We start from the raw sequence: 14,585 nt of genomic DNA on the forward strand, positions 1-14,585 counted from the left end.
GTCTCGATCTGACCTCGTGATCCACCCGCCTTGGCCTCCTAAAGTGCTGGGATTACAGGCGTGAGCCACCGTGCCCAGCCTAATTTTTGTAACTTTTTATAATGAGACTTACACATTGATTTAAATTATATACAGGATGCTCAGCCAGCACAAAGCTGTGGTGAGATTTGGGCCCAAGTCTCCGACTCCAGATTCCAAACCACATTAAAAAAAAAAAAATCACCTGCAGACTGCCTATAGCTTTAACAGTCTCTGTCTCCCCTTCTTCACATCCTTCCGGTGGAGAAAAGTTTGTGAATATTAAGTAAATTTGATTCAATAGACATTTTATTTTTTTGTAAAGATGATGGGGTCTTGCTATGCTGCTCAGGATGGTCTTGAACTCGTGACCTCAGGTGATCCTCCCACCTCTGTCTCCCAAAGTGCTGGAATTACAGATGTGAGCCACTGCGCCCAGCCTGGTTTGGTAGTTTCTTAAAAGTGAAAATTAGACCTACCATGTGACCCAGCCATTCCACTACTAGGTGTCTACCCAAGAAAAATAAAAGCATGTTTCCACACAAAGACTTGTATACAAATATTCATAGCAACTTTATTTGGAATAGCAAAAAAAAGGGAAAACAACCCAAACAGCCATCAGCAGGTGAATGGATAAACACATGGTGGATATCCATACAATGAAACACTGCTCAGCTGTGAAAAAGGAACAAACTATTGAAACAATATCCCTGTTCAGGAGCAGGATTTGGAGAATATAAGAAGCATATCTTTTATAATTTAAAAACTTGCTTTCTAAGATTTGAACTGAAAGATCTTTTTTGAAGATGAGTGTCATGGAATTGACATGATTTGAAGTGTTATGGCACTTCCTTTGAATAAAAAAATCAAAGTTGCTAACAAGTTCCATGTACTTAAAAATATTGGGACAGAGCGCTCAAAGCTATGAAAAGTTTTGGGCCACCCATGAATATGAGATAAGATTAACAAGAGAGGAGAAGGAAGTGAAAAATATGGCTTTCCATGCATTTCCAATTGTATGAATTACCATTGAAGGCTAGTGATGAAATGTTACTCTCTAGGAGTCAGTGTTTTCACATCTAAAAATGGTATCAGTCATAGAAAAAGCTTATCTGTCTACTGCCAAAAAGGGAAGAGGGTAATAGCACGTATTGAGCACCTACTGTATATTCAGATGAGGTCCTGCCATACGAAATTCAGTCCCCACTGTTCTGGGGGCCATGCAATCGTCTTTAGATAATAGGTGTGGGGCTAGGGGTTCCGCTGTGAAGTTACCTTCCTTCCCAGGGTGCTCAGCCAGCACAAAGCTGTGGTGAGATTTGGGTCCAGGTCTCAGACTCCAGATTCCAAACCACATTTAAAAAAATAAAATCATCACCTGCAGACTGCCTATAGCTTTGACAGTCTCTGTGTCTCCCTTTCGTTTGCATCCTTCGGGTGGAGAAAGGTTTATGAATATTTTAGTAAATTTGATTCAAAAGACATTTCTTGATTATCACATTGGTTCTCAAAGTGTGGTCCCTGGACCAGTGACATCAGCATTACCTGGGCACTCATTAGAAATGCACATTCTCAGGCCTACTCCTGACTCCCAATCCAGAAACACAGTGTGGGTCCAACAATCTGTTTTAACAAGTCCTCTGGTTCGCTCCAGGCTCCAGGGTGGGACAGTCACTGGTGCTTCTGCTGGCTGGGACAACAGGGCCCCACTGTGGAACTTGCAGCCCGTGACCCCCTCCTAACGGCTCCTCTCAGTTCCCGTGGTCCCAAAAGCCCTCTGTCCCGTGCAGGGCTGCCCCACAGTGGCCTTCCACATCCTCCTGATAGCAGAGGCCCCCGCCACCCCCAGGGCCACCTCTGCAGCTGTGCCGCAGCTTCTCTGCCCAGGCACCTGCACTGACACGGAGCACCCTGTAGGTTGTCTGCTTGAGGCCTTTACCTAAATGCTTGCCGCAGCTGTTTCTAAACTACAAAAGCACACAATCATGAAATGAGGCAGAGGTGGGCTGAGTGCCACAATGGATGCCAAGAGGAAGAGAGATGGACATGGCGCTGGGAGGCTCTGGGCACCACTGGAGGGGGGCGCTGAGTTCCCGGGCTGCCCCGGCTGGGAGAGGAGTCGAGTCTTAATCTCCTTTAAGGAAACATAATAAATAAACTACTTTGCCACTAGAGTGATTTATGTGTTGATTTGGGTGGAATCTCTTTCATGAACACATTTTATGTCTTTTTAAAAAAATTAGATTATTTCTTGGCCAGGTGTGGGCACAGGGTGGCTCATGCCTGTTATCCCAGCACTTTGGGAGGCCAAGGTGGGTGCATCACTTGAGGTCAGGAGTTGAAGATCAGCCTGGCCAACATAGTGAAACCCTGTCTCTACTAAAAATACAAAAATTTGCTGAGAGTTTGTGGCAGGTGCCTGTAATCCCAGCTACTTGAGAGGCTGAGGCAGGAGAATCGCTTGAACCCAGGAGGCAGAGGTTGCAGTGAGCTGAGATCATGCCACTGCACTCTAGCCTGGGCAACAGAATGAGACTCCATCTTATAAATAAATAAATTAGATTTCCTACCACTACAGTGAAGCATAATTTTATGATTTAGGCAACTACCCTAAAGGGAAATAAAACTAAGTGAGATTCCACATGGTCTCAGTAATACCTGTAGTGCAAAATCAAATGCTTATAGGGAGTGAAACAGAATGCGGCCGATACCTGTGGAAAAGAGTGCTTCAATTGTCTTATGTCTACGACCAGCCTAAGCTCATAGCCATACAAATATATATACCATACATGTGCTGAAACTAAGTTAAATTTCTTGTTTTTAATTGTCTTAAGTATCAAACTTGGATCATCAGAACATGTTGGAAAAACACGGCTCTGAAGCCAACTTATTAAGCACCTGTGCTGTATCGAACATTTTACATTTGTTCATTTAACATATCTAGATAAATCTACTCATTTACAGCTATAGTGATCCAAGATTTCATCACAGCAGATTAAAACAAAACCTTTAAGTTAAAAATAATTTAAAATCAGTGAATATATTAATACTATGAGAGTCTTTGCCTATGAGAATACAGAACTTTGGCCCAAATGTTTCATTAATCTACAGGGTTATATACATTTGGAGCACAGTTTTGTTGTTTGTTTGTTTGTTTTTAATCCTCTTCCCAAAAATGGGTTTCTTTAGGCAGCTCGAGACTCCTGTGTTAGACAAGAGGAAAAGGAGTGGGTGCCTCTCGACTGGGACCAGTGGACATTATTATGGGAATATACCAGTGGTGGCAGGTTGATGACCTTATCTCCCTGCAGGGTAGTATTTCTCTCTGGGCTCTCAGCAGGTCTGCCTGTCACTGCCACCCAGAAGTGGAGCCACCTTCTGAAGCCCAAACCGAGGAGGGAGAGCCCAGGGTCCTCTGAAGCCCAAACCGAGGAGGGAGAGCCCAGGGTCCTCAGGCGCCTCGCAGCAGGAGGCCAGGAGTTCACCCACAGTGTCTAGTTCCTTGTTATCTTTCTTTTTCCCTCCATTGGCACAAAGCCACCTAGAAAAAAAAAGGAGTATTAATTCATCCCTCTATTCACACAAGAAGACAACATATTGTTTAAATAAGAAAGGAGCATGATTTCCCGAATCTTCAGCAAGACCTTGAATACAGTTTCCAAAGTAGGCCTGCTGTAAAAGTTCTGTGGATTATTATAAACTGCAGGTAGTTAAGAGTGTGTGTTTTTATCTTGAGTATGTAGCTGGTGACTTTTTAAAAAAATTAAAATGCCTCTGTGTTCCTGAAAGCTGAGTAAATTCACACAGTATTAAGTCTCTCACAAAACGAATTCAAGCAGCTCTAAGTGTATGTTCCCTTGTTTCGTGCCCTTGTGAAGTATTTAAGCATAAAGAGCTTTAGTGCCAGACTTACCTGATAATATGCTATGACTTCAGAAGAGCTTACAAAAGAGTGCTTTTATTGACTTTATAAATTAAGAACCTGGTATTTCAGCTCAGTTGGCCTTCTGCCCTTCTGAAACAATCATTCCCTTCTGGGACAATTAGTACATGTTTTATGGATATTTGCGTTGAACTGGGTGACTTGCAGACACTCCCAAAGGAATTTTTAGTTAGAATACCACTTAAACGCAGTTGCCTTTTGTCACCATTGTTGTCCACATTAATTTAAATTAAGTAAGTAAGTTAAACATTACCTACAATGAAAAAGGTGGTCCTGAATTTTTAAAACTCCCCCCAAGGTTTAAAGTAGGAAAAAAATGTATTCTTTGCCATGTTCGAGGATAAGAAAATGTTGTAAAACATGAATACTTATTTTTACCTTTCTCTCCTTAGCAACTGACACCAGAATAAAAATCTCCCTGGAAAGGCTCCTCTGGTCCCAAGCGGTCACCTGCTCCGGCCCCAGAGCCCCCGGGGGTAGGGAGGTGGGCTCTGTGCCTCTTCCCCCTCCACTGTCCATCCTGCCACAGCAGTTCACAGGGTCAGCTCTTCCGCTCTAAAACTGGTTTTGTTTTTTGTTGTTTTGTTTTGTTGCAATTGCCCCGTGCTAAGTGCAGCCCACGGCCCTCATGTGGAATGGGAATCAGGTAGTAAAGTCAGTAATGTTGGTTTCGCCTGCCCCTCCTCACCACAGCCCAAGGGTCAGAGCTGTGGAATGGCCTCTTAGAACCCAGCTCTATCACGCCCTCCCATCTCCCACTGCTGCCCAGGAAGGGTAGGGACCCAGGATCCTGCACCCCTCAGATCATTCTGTCTCCACTCACTTTCTTCAATTCCTCCGCACCTACAGCACAGCCTATTTTTGACATTATCATAGCCTGCTTATGTGTGTCCTGGTTTACTAACTAGACAGGCTTTCGTGAGACATGGCTCCTACAGAACCCTAAATCCAACAGATGTTCAGTAAATGCTTTGATGAAAGTAGTGATGAGAAAGGGGAAAATTACAAAAAGCTTCCCACTTTCTGATCAGCTACTGCTGTACTGTTTTCACTATTCAGTGATTTCACCATTCTGTGAATGGGCTCAGTTGTCTGCCTACAAATGTTGGTTTTGAGTCAAACTGAAGTTATTTGAAGACAGAAGGAGGAAATGGGCCTAAGTTTCGCCCCTGGCATTCCTGTGGCCATATCAAATATTTATATAGTGCTTAGAGTGGGCCAGGCATTTCACATGTATGGACTCTTTTATCCATACTTTTAGCAGCCCTACGGTCCTGTAATATTGTACAAAGGACGACCTGGAGACACACAGAGGTTCAATTACATCCCCAGGGCCGTGTTGGTAAGCATGGAGCCGGGCTCTGATTCCAGGCTGTTGGCTGAAGTCTGTGGGCTTGGCCAGCCTACCGTGCTGCCTCACCAAGACTCAACCCCTGGTGATGTCAGTTTGGAATCTAAGGAGCCCAAAAGCTGCTCAGAAGAAAACTAGATCATTTACAACTAGCATATATCCTCACCACCCCTCCTCCATGCCTCCACCCCAAACCTGTTCTTCCTCTGCCTTCCCTGACTCAGTGACAGCCCCGTCCACCTAATTGCGCCAAGTCATAAATCTCCAGCCCCTCCCTCCCTGTCACCTCCAAATCTCATCCTCACTTCGCTGACTTTCTACCACCAAGCACCTCTGGACTCCGCCCTCCTTCGACAGTCACTGCCCAGCTCTGGCGCTCCTCGTGTTCTCCCAGGAGCTGCAAAGCTCTCTCCCCTCCAACACACATTGCCCCTCTGCCAGTTATTTTCCCAAATCGGGTCTAAACCCACCCCCCACCCCCCCCACCCCCACAATATGCAGCATCCTCCCAAGGCTCCTGTTGCCTAGAGGCAAGAGACAGTGTGTTCTGGTTGAGCTATCAGAGTGTGGCCCCAACACTTTTCCCATCCCCCGCCCTGCCTTGCGCCCTCGATCTCAGGCAAGCCATGGCCTCTCACACCCTGAGGCCTTTGCCTGTGTTGTATGCTCTATCAGAAATGTCCTTCTCTCTCTTCTTCCTTTAGGACTCTTGCTCTATGCCATCTCCCTTCAACCCTCCCTACCTCAGCTCCCCAAGCAGAGTTCATGGTTTCCGAGCACAGAGCTCAGACCTCCGTAAGGGCATGCACCGTCTGTGCCACATGCCTGGGTCTCTAGATGGAGCCTCCTTGTGCTGGCCCATGAGCTTTCTGTGCACACAGATGCCAGTACCCACAGGGCAGGTAGGCACTACTGTTAGCGCTCCCTCCCCAACCTGACAGCTTGGTAGATTTTAAGATTAAGAAACTTGAGATCTTACAGGAAAAATATCACAATGATAATAGAGGCCACATACCAAAGAAGCATATCTAGGAAATGTTACACATCTAGTTTGTAATTACAAGTTTTATACAATTAATTTCCACTTACCAGCTCATCAGAAACTTTCCAGGTTTGCTCTTCTCTGCATTTTCAATGCGATGACTACATTTATTTAGCTTTATTAAGAATCCTATGCATACTAAGATTTGGCTTTTGCATGTTACCTGGTCCTCCATCTACACGAACAGCTCTCTAATTTCGTGTCAGTTAGTGCCTGCCGTCTGCTGATCCCCATAATGGCCCCAGAGCAGAGTAACTTGAGGTTTTATGATGCCTTGAGGAACTTTTATTAAAAGGACCACAATACCTAAGTAAATAATGCTCAAGGAGCTCCCCAGTTCTAAACCAGGAGAGCATGGTTGTGCCCATGATAATTTCAGGCCCAACACACACAAGTCTCTGCCACTCCTGAAGAGCAATCCCAAAACTCCAAGACCTGCTTCCCTTCTTTTCCCTCTGATGCTTATCACAAAATTCTCCTGATTTGGCCAGGCACGGTGGTTCACGCTTGTCACGCTTGTAATCCCAGCAACTTTGGGAGGTCAAGGCCGGCGGATCACCTGAGGTCAGGAGTTCAAGACAAGCCTGGCCAACACAGTGAAACCCCGTCTCTACTAAAAATACAAAAATTAGCTGGGCGTGGTGGCAGGCGCCTGTAATCCCAGCTACTTGGGAGGCTGAGGCAGGAGAATTGCTTGAACCCAAGAGGCGGAGGTTGCAGTGAGCCAAGATCGTGCCACTGTACTCCAGCCTGCGCGACAGAGCTAGACTCGGTCTCAGAAAAAAAAAAAAACTCCTGATTTTTCCCTTTACCTTTTTTCAGCCTCTAGCTCTTCCTTTTTCTAATCATCACCAACAGTGATGCCCACTGATTTGAAAGCTCCTGTGCTGTATGGAACATTTTACATTTGTTCATTTAACATACTAGATAAATCTACTTATTTACAGCTATAGTGATTCCAGATTTGGTCACAGCAGATTAAAACAAAACCTTTAAGTTAAAATTAATGTTAAAATCAGTGACTATATTAATACTACGGGAATCAACTCAAAAGTACAGATATTGAAATCAGTAATATCATGGTTTAGAAAAGACATATCAACATGGGTTGCAAAAGGCTCAGACTTCAAGTAAGGGAGCTGGCAGCTGGGGAGGGATTACTGTAAAAACACAGTTAATAAAATGTCAATTTTGGCTGGATGATTTAATCCCTCTTTGCTTTTTCCCTACCTATAAAGCAAAGATAAATCTCTCTTGTACTAAAATGTGGTGAGATGCTCCAACAATTTTTTTTTTTTTAAGATGGAGTTTCACTCTTGTCGCCCGGGCTGGAGTGCAATGGCGCGATCTTGGCTCACTGCAACCTCCGCTTCTCAGGTTCAAGTGATTCTCCTGCCTCAGCCTCCCAAGTAGCTAGGATTACAGGCATGTACCACCATGCCCGGCTAATTTTTGTATTTTTAGTAGAGACGGGGTTTCACCATGTTGATCAGGCTGGATGGTCTTGAACTCCTGACCTCGGGTGATCCACCTGCCTTGGCTTCCCTAAGTGCTGGGATTACAGGCGTGAGCCACCACACCCAGCAGCTCCAACAATTTTAAATGGACATTATTTTATAATAGAGATGTTTGATCATTAATAACCCTTTCTTCAAAGAGTGAAATATGCACCTGTGAGCCAGCAAGCCTCACCACAGCCTCTCAGCTCCCCTGTTTGGGGTGTTTGCTTGAAATGGCATTGAGCCAAATGGCTCCACCCCACTCGGTGTCAGTCAGAAGCAAGAGAGGTTCACTGGAGGTTAAGGCCAGGGCGCTTGAGCCCAGGGCTTTTTGGTAACTGTGTTGCAACTATTGAGCCTCCCTTGGAATGATCACTCTACAGTGAAGCCACAGGAAAAGAATGTGAGAGACCTAGGTTCTTCTAGCTGCCAACAAGTGGGTGACACCCAACATGACATAGCTGCTTCTGCCTACATTCTGAAACAGGGAGAGCTGGCTGCTGGCTTCTTGGCAACTGGGTCTGGGTCAAGTCCCAAGTATTTGACAAGACTCACCTGAGACTCCAGTCATCCTGGCAGTGGCAGGCAGGTATGGTGGGGACGGGTGTCAAACCTTCATAAGCAAGCACGCTCAAGACAGTGTCACGGAAGACACAGGAAAACAGAGCCTGTGGATACCAAACAACCGAGAGCTAATCCACAGTCAGTGTGTTCTCTAAGTTTGAGAATCAACTTAGAGAGTAATCAAATGCCATCTTCTGAGCCAGACACTGTCACTAGCACCTGCCACGGCTGCCACGTGTCCAGGTGCTCTGTAATGAGTGCTGTGGGCTGAACCCAAAATCTCATGCAGAAACACCCACCCATTGGCAGTACCACCACTAGAAGGAAAATACGGGGTTTGGAAACAAGATATCTGGGTTCTAGTCCCAAACTTATTGACTATGAGACTGAATTGCGTTATTTGATCTCTCTGGACTTTGTTTCTCCATCTACAAGGTGGGTAGAACCCTGTCTACTTCCAAGGGTTGTTTTAAGAATCAAATGAGCTCAGGTATGTGATCACATTGAGCACTGAATTCTGCCAAAAGAAGGTACATGTCATTATCATCCTGAATAACTACAGTAATTGTTGATCATCTACCATATGCTTGTCTCTATGCCAGATGATGAGGACGTTTTAAAAATATGAGATATAGTTTTTGTCCCTTAAGCAGCTTATGCTACAGTGAGGGAAAATGGGGAGGTGGAAAGTTTAATATTGACCTAGTTCCTGAAATGTGCCTGGCATTGTCTGAGATACTTTTCTTAAACCAAAACAAACACAACCTTTGGTGATAGGAATGATTATCCCGTATCCCACAGCTGAGGAAAGTGAGGCTCAGAGGGTAAGAAACTTTGTCACAGAGCTGGTGGTGAGGGTGGAGATTTTACACTCCCTGCCTCCCACACCAGTTTCTCCGGAGTGGAAAGACTTTCATCTCGCACTGGCACGACCTTGAGACCCCGGGTTCTGATGAACTGGGGGGACAGGTGCTTGGATGTCAGGGTGAAGGCTCTGCCATCATCTTTCAGCCCCCTGAGATGTCCCTTCAATATGGGCTGTTTCATCAGGGCTGAAGTCCCTGAATGTGGGGAATTCCACACATGGATTAGGTAACATGTCCAACCAACAAGGATGTGGAGGAATTGGACAGGGTTCCTACTGCCTAGTCTTTAAAGAAGATGAACGCCATCTGCCAGCGTCTGTCTGCCAGGCATTGTGTGAGTCTTTAAGTACTTTATTCATAGTTAACTCCACGTCTCTTGATGTATTTTCCATGTTTTACAGATAAGAAAAGCAAGGACTGGCAGCGAAGTAGACTAAAGATAAAAATCAGAGGCAGCCCTGGCATGTGAATCTGTATCTGCCTCAGTTCCTCCCTCGGAATTGTGCGGAACTGAGTCAAGTAAAGGCAGAGCCACTTGCGATGAGTGGCTTCACGAAGGACAGCGGAGGTGCTTGGGGAGTCCTCCTACTGGGATGGGAAGGGTTCCTGGAAGAGCTGGCATTTGAAGTTGGCCACTAAAGATGTAACTTGGGTGGCAAGGGAGAGAGGAAAAGCACAGGCAATGCCAGGTGCCTGAGATTCAGGACGCGCTCAGAGAACTCTGTGACAGGGGTGCAGTGACTCTACTGAGATCACCCTGCTGGTCAATAGAAGAACCTGGACTAGAACCCAGGTCTTGTAACTCTAAATCTACTAGCCACCTCCCAACCCCACTCAATGCACCCATGAGCCTGTTAGTACCGTACCATATGGTCTCCAATGGGAGCGGGGGTCCCAAATTAGTTCTCTACTCTGAAACTCATGGCTTGGGAAGGTACCTTCAAAGATCCTCTTTCTTTGAAAAAACACTACCTTTGAGTTTAAAAAGATTATTGCCAAACAAATAAAAAGATGAAAAACCTCACTCATAACTTAAAAAAAAAAGCAATTCAAAACAACGAGATCCCATTTTTCATCGAATAGACTAGCCAAGCAAACTTCAATGTTGCCCACGGTTGTCTAGGGTGCGGCACGGTAGGCAGTCTGATATTCTGTGGTAGGAATCTAAATAAGAGCAGCCTTTTGGAAAACAATCCGGCAAGAGCCAGGAAAATGGCAGCTGCAGGCCAGGTGCGGTGGCAGTGGCTCATGCCTGTAATCCCAGCACTCTGGGAGGCCGAGATGGGTGGATCACCTGAGGTCAGGAGTGTGAGACCAGCCTGGCTAACATGGCAAAACACCATCTCTACTAATAATACAAAAATTAGCCGGGTGTGGTGGCAGGTACTGGTAATCCCAGCTACTCTGGAGGCTGAGGCTTGAGAATCACTTGAACCCGGGACGTGGAGGTTGCAGTGAGCAGAGATTGCATCACTGCATTCCAGCCTGGGCAACAAGAGCCAAACTCCATCTCAAAAAACAAACAAACAAAAAACCAAATGGCAGCTGTGCATTCCCTTTTCTCAGTAACTCCGATTCTAGGAATTTATCCTATGGCAATACCTGATCAAGTGTGCAAAAATGTAGTTAGAGGAATGTGTTATTGTGAATGTTTGTAATTAAGAAAAGCTAGGGGAAAAAACCCTAATTGCTCACCAATACATTCAAGTTATCATATAGCCATTCAAGGAAACACCATACAGCCATTTTTTAAAGTGAACTAGATTTCTATGTGCTGATGTGGAAAATGTTTAAACCATAGAAAGGAAAAACAAGCAAGCTGTGGAAGATTGTGCAGTCCGAATCCCATTTGTCTAAGAAAATAAACCATGTGAGTGCTTGTACAGACAGAAGATATCTGGAAAGATCAACACAAATTGTTCACAGTGGTTGTCTCAAGGATTAGGGGCTGGGAATGGAGGAGGCCAGGGACTGCATTCTGTATCCTTCTGCAGAGCTTCAATTTCTTCCTTTCTCCTTTCTTTGTCCCGTTCCTAATCCCTTTCTATCTTTTTTTATTTTTGAGATGGAGTCTTGTTGTCACCCAGGCTGGAGTGCAGTGGCGCGATCTTGGCTCACTGCAACCTCCGCCTTCTGGGTTCAAGCGATTCTCCTGCCTCAGCCTCCCGAGTAGCTGGGAATACAGATACCCACCACCATGCCCGGCTAATTTTTGTATTTTTGTTAGAGATGGGGTTTCACCATGTTGGCCAGGCTGGTCTCAAACCCCTGACCTCAGGTGATCTGCCCACATCGGCCTCCCAAAGCTCTGGGATTACAGGCGTGAGCCAGCACGCCCAGCATTTTTTCTTCCATAAAAACTATGTGCATATATTACTTTAATAATTTAAACAAATAGTAAAGAACTTAAAAATGAAGAGGGTAGGCCAGGCATGGTGGTTCACATCTGTAATCCCAGCACTTTGGGAGGCTGGGAGGATGGGAGGATCGTTGGAGCACAGGAGTTCAAGACCAGCCTGGGCAATATGGTGAGACCCTGTCTCTACAAAACATACACACACACACACATACACACTAGCCAGGTGTGGTGGTGTGCACGTGTAGCCCCAGCTACTCAGGAGGCTGAGGTGGGAGAATCACTTGAGCCTGGGAAGTCAAGGCTGCGGTGAGCTGTGATGGTGCCACTGCACTCCAGCCTGAGTAACACAGTGAGACCCTGTCTCAGATAAAATAAAATGAAATAAACAGGGTTCATGGCAACAGGTCATAGATAGAGATTTTCATTTCTGTTTTAGAGAGCTATTAGAGACAAACTAAACAATCCCATATTCAAATTGACAAAATAGACCCAATGTTTTTAATTACTACAGCTATGGTCTAATAACCTCAGGCTCTTCCTGTTCTTGTTTTTGGCTTTATGATTGGATATTTCTTCATTCATCCCCTATTTATTTTGTGCCTACCATGTATTAGGCTCAAGGACTTTCATCTTCTGCAACGGTGGGGGGGGTCATTTAAAAGAGCCCTAGCTATGCTACAGAAGGGAGGAGACTGGGCGCAGAACGCATGCCTGCAGAGGACTGCATCCATTCAGTAGACATTTGCTGGATATTTTCTATGTATATACCAGGCACCAGGAACATAAAAATGAAGGTGGTACAACCGCTGCCCTCTCTGGAAAAGCTCACACTTGGTGGAGACAGACACAAACAGGAAAGCCCATAAGACAAACATGGTGATGGGCAATGCAGAAGGCGCTGTGGATCCCACAGGACACCTTGTCCAGCCTAGAGGGTTGGGAAGGCCACCTGGAGGAAATGAGCCAGGCTGGAAGTTGAGTGGAGTGGGCCAAGCATGGAGGGAAGGAGCAGGGAATGCGGGGACGGTGCTTGGGAGTGAGCAGTAAGGGAAGTGCTGGGCCGCCAAGGGGAGGCTGAGCTCAGGAGTGTGGACTTTATGGTGAGTATAACTGAGTGACAAGAAATCTGTGTTTTATAAAGGCCACTCCAGTGGCAGTGTGGAGCCGGGTCAGAGGAAATAGAAGAAAGGCAGGTAGAGGGACACTGTTCCCAAGTCAGTCACTTTGGCACCACCCTGATGACTTGTACCCTATTTGGGACCATCTGTGCTGTTATTGACTAGCATTTTTCTTAAATTAGCGTGCTTAGAAAACATAATTGATTTGGCAGGGCGCGGTGACTCATGCCTGTAATCCCAGCACTTTGAGAGGCCGAGGCGGGCAGATTGCCTGAGGTCAGGAGTTTGAGACCTGCCTGGTCAACTTAGTGAAACCCCATCTCTACTAAAAATAGAAAAATTAGCCGAGCGTGGTGGTGGGCGCCTGTGATCCTAGCTACTTGGGAGGCTGAGGCAGGAGAGTCGCTTGAACCCAGGAGGCAGAGGTTGCAGTAAGCTGAGATCACGGCACTGCACTCCAGCCTGGGCAACAGAGGGAGATTCCGCCTCAAAAAAAAAAAAAAAAAAAAAAAGGAAAAGAAAAAAATAATAAATGATTTAAACAGGAAACTAGTGGTAAGAACAAACAACAGGCTGCATGGATCCAGTGCTGGGCCCGGGGTCAGAGGACAGAAACTGCGAAGGGCGGTCTCAAGTGAGGCTGCCGATTCCGGTCCCTGAAGGCCTTGGACCAGGGCACAGAGGAGGGACTGCTGGCTGCAGGAGGGCCCTGTGACCTCATGCTGCTCCTCACTTCACCTCCTTCCCTTGGCTTCCACGCTTCCATTGCTTCCGACCTCGGTGTCCCCGTCTTCTGTCTCCTCCACTGGCTCTTCCTCCCAGCCTTTCTGTGTCGGAGGCTCCTGGATCCAGCATGGGTCCCATCCTCTTTCCTTCCTGCCTTCTCATGGCTTTAAATGGCCTCTAGACGTGGGCGGCGCCCAGATGTGAGCTTCAGCCCAGACTTCTCCCTTGCACTCCAGCCTCGTACCCAGGAGCCCACCTGATTCATGGATTTTTATCTCCCATACATCTTGAGCTTAGCACGTCCAAAACAGACTCTCGTTCTCCCCCAAATCTTCTATGCCCCAGGTCTTCTGTATCCCAGGGGATGGCAAATCATTCCTCCAGTTGCCCAGCTGGAAACGCTGTAGTCATCCTTGATTCTCTCTTTCTCTCACACCCCATATCCAATTTTCAGACAATCCTGCTGGTCCCACCTTCAAAGCATATCCAGAATTCGGCCACTTCCCACCACCTCACTCTATTGCCCTCGGCCTGCATCATGGCAATGGCCTCCTACCTGGTCCCCACCACGCAGCAGCAGAGAACTATTTTAAAATGTGAGACCCTGTCACTACCCTGCTCCAAGCCCCTCCAAGGCGTCCCCACCTAGCCCAGAGGGAAAGCCACAGTCCTTACGGAAGCCGGCAAGGCCCTGCTCAATCCGCTCCCCTGCGCCCACTATCTCTGACCGCAGCTCCCGCCTCCCTGTGCCCCACCAGCCACCCGGGTCTCCTCAAGGGTCACAAAACACACCAGGGTCCCTGCCTCAGGTACAGTCCCACCTTCGTGGCCCCTCATCTCCTTCAAGCCTGAAAGCCTCGCTCCTCCCCGCCTCCCCAGGGCCTGCCTGCTTTACCTTCCAACCAGCCACACCATTTACTTGTTTTTGTATTGCCCGTTACCCCAACTAGGAAGGCGAGGAGTTGTGTCTGTTCTGTTGACTGCCCTGTCCCCGGCGTCTGGGGCCGCGCCTGTCCGAGGGTCAGGTCCGACGCTGGGCATGTGGGGACTCAGTGAGCGGACCCTGGGAAAGACGGCAGCTCGGGAAGGACAAGTGGGG

At 46.8% G+C, this 14,585-nt stretch overlaps 1 long non-coding RNA gene across 1 annotated transcript, besides 2 other annotated features; it reads right to left on the reverse strand.

Annotated features, from left to right (window-relative positions):
* Positions 1,979 to 2,318: a silencer, noted in NCBI's record as "fragment chr2:10078385-10078724 (GRCh37/hg19 assembly coordinates)". NCBI's record gives its function as "represses an EF-1alpha promoter that drives an FKBP-Casp9 reporter gene in an ReSE screen in K562 erythroleukemia cells {active_cell/tissue: K562}" and the evidence as "EXISTENCE:reporter gene assay evidence [ECO:0000049][PMID:32094911]".
* Positions 3,161 to 14,576, reverse strand: LOC105373422 (uncharacterized). Its single transcript, XR_922784.4, has 3 exons — positions 14,428 to 14,576; positions 8,409 to 8,521; positions 3,161 to 3,559 (listed from the first exon to the last, which is right to left on the reverse strand). It is a non-coding gene; the product is annotated as an uncharacterized LOC105373422 (long non-coding RNA).
* Positions 4,471 to 4,971: an enhancer, noted in NCBI's record as "H3K4me1 hESC enhancer chr2:10080877-10081377 (GRCh37/hg19 assembly coordinates)". NCBI's record gives its function as "activates a minimal SCP1, AML or CMV promoter by ChIP-STARR-seq in primed H9 embryonic stem cells {active_cell/tissue: H9 hESC(primed)}" and the evidence as "EXISTENCE:reporter gene assay evidence [ECO:0000049][PMID:30033119]".

Source organism: Homo sapiens, chromosome 2, assembly GCF_000001405.40.
Source record: "Homo sapiens chromosome 2, GRCh38.p14 Primary Assembly".
NCBI lineage: Eukaryota > Metazoa > Chordata > Mammalia > Primates > Hominidae > Homo > Homo sapiens.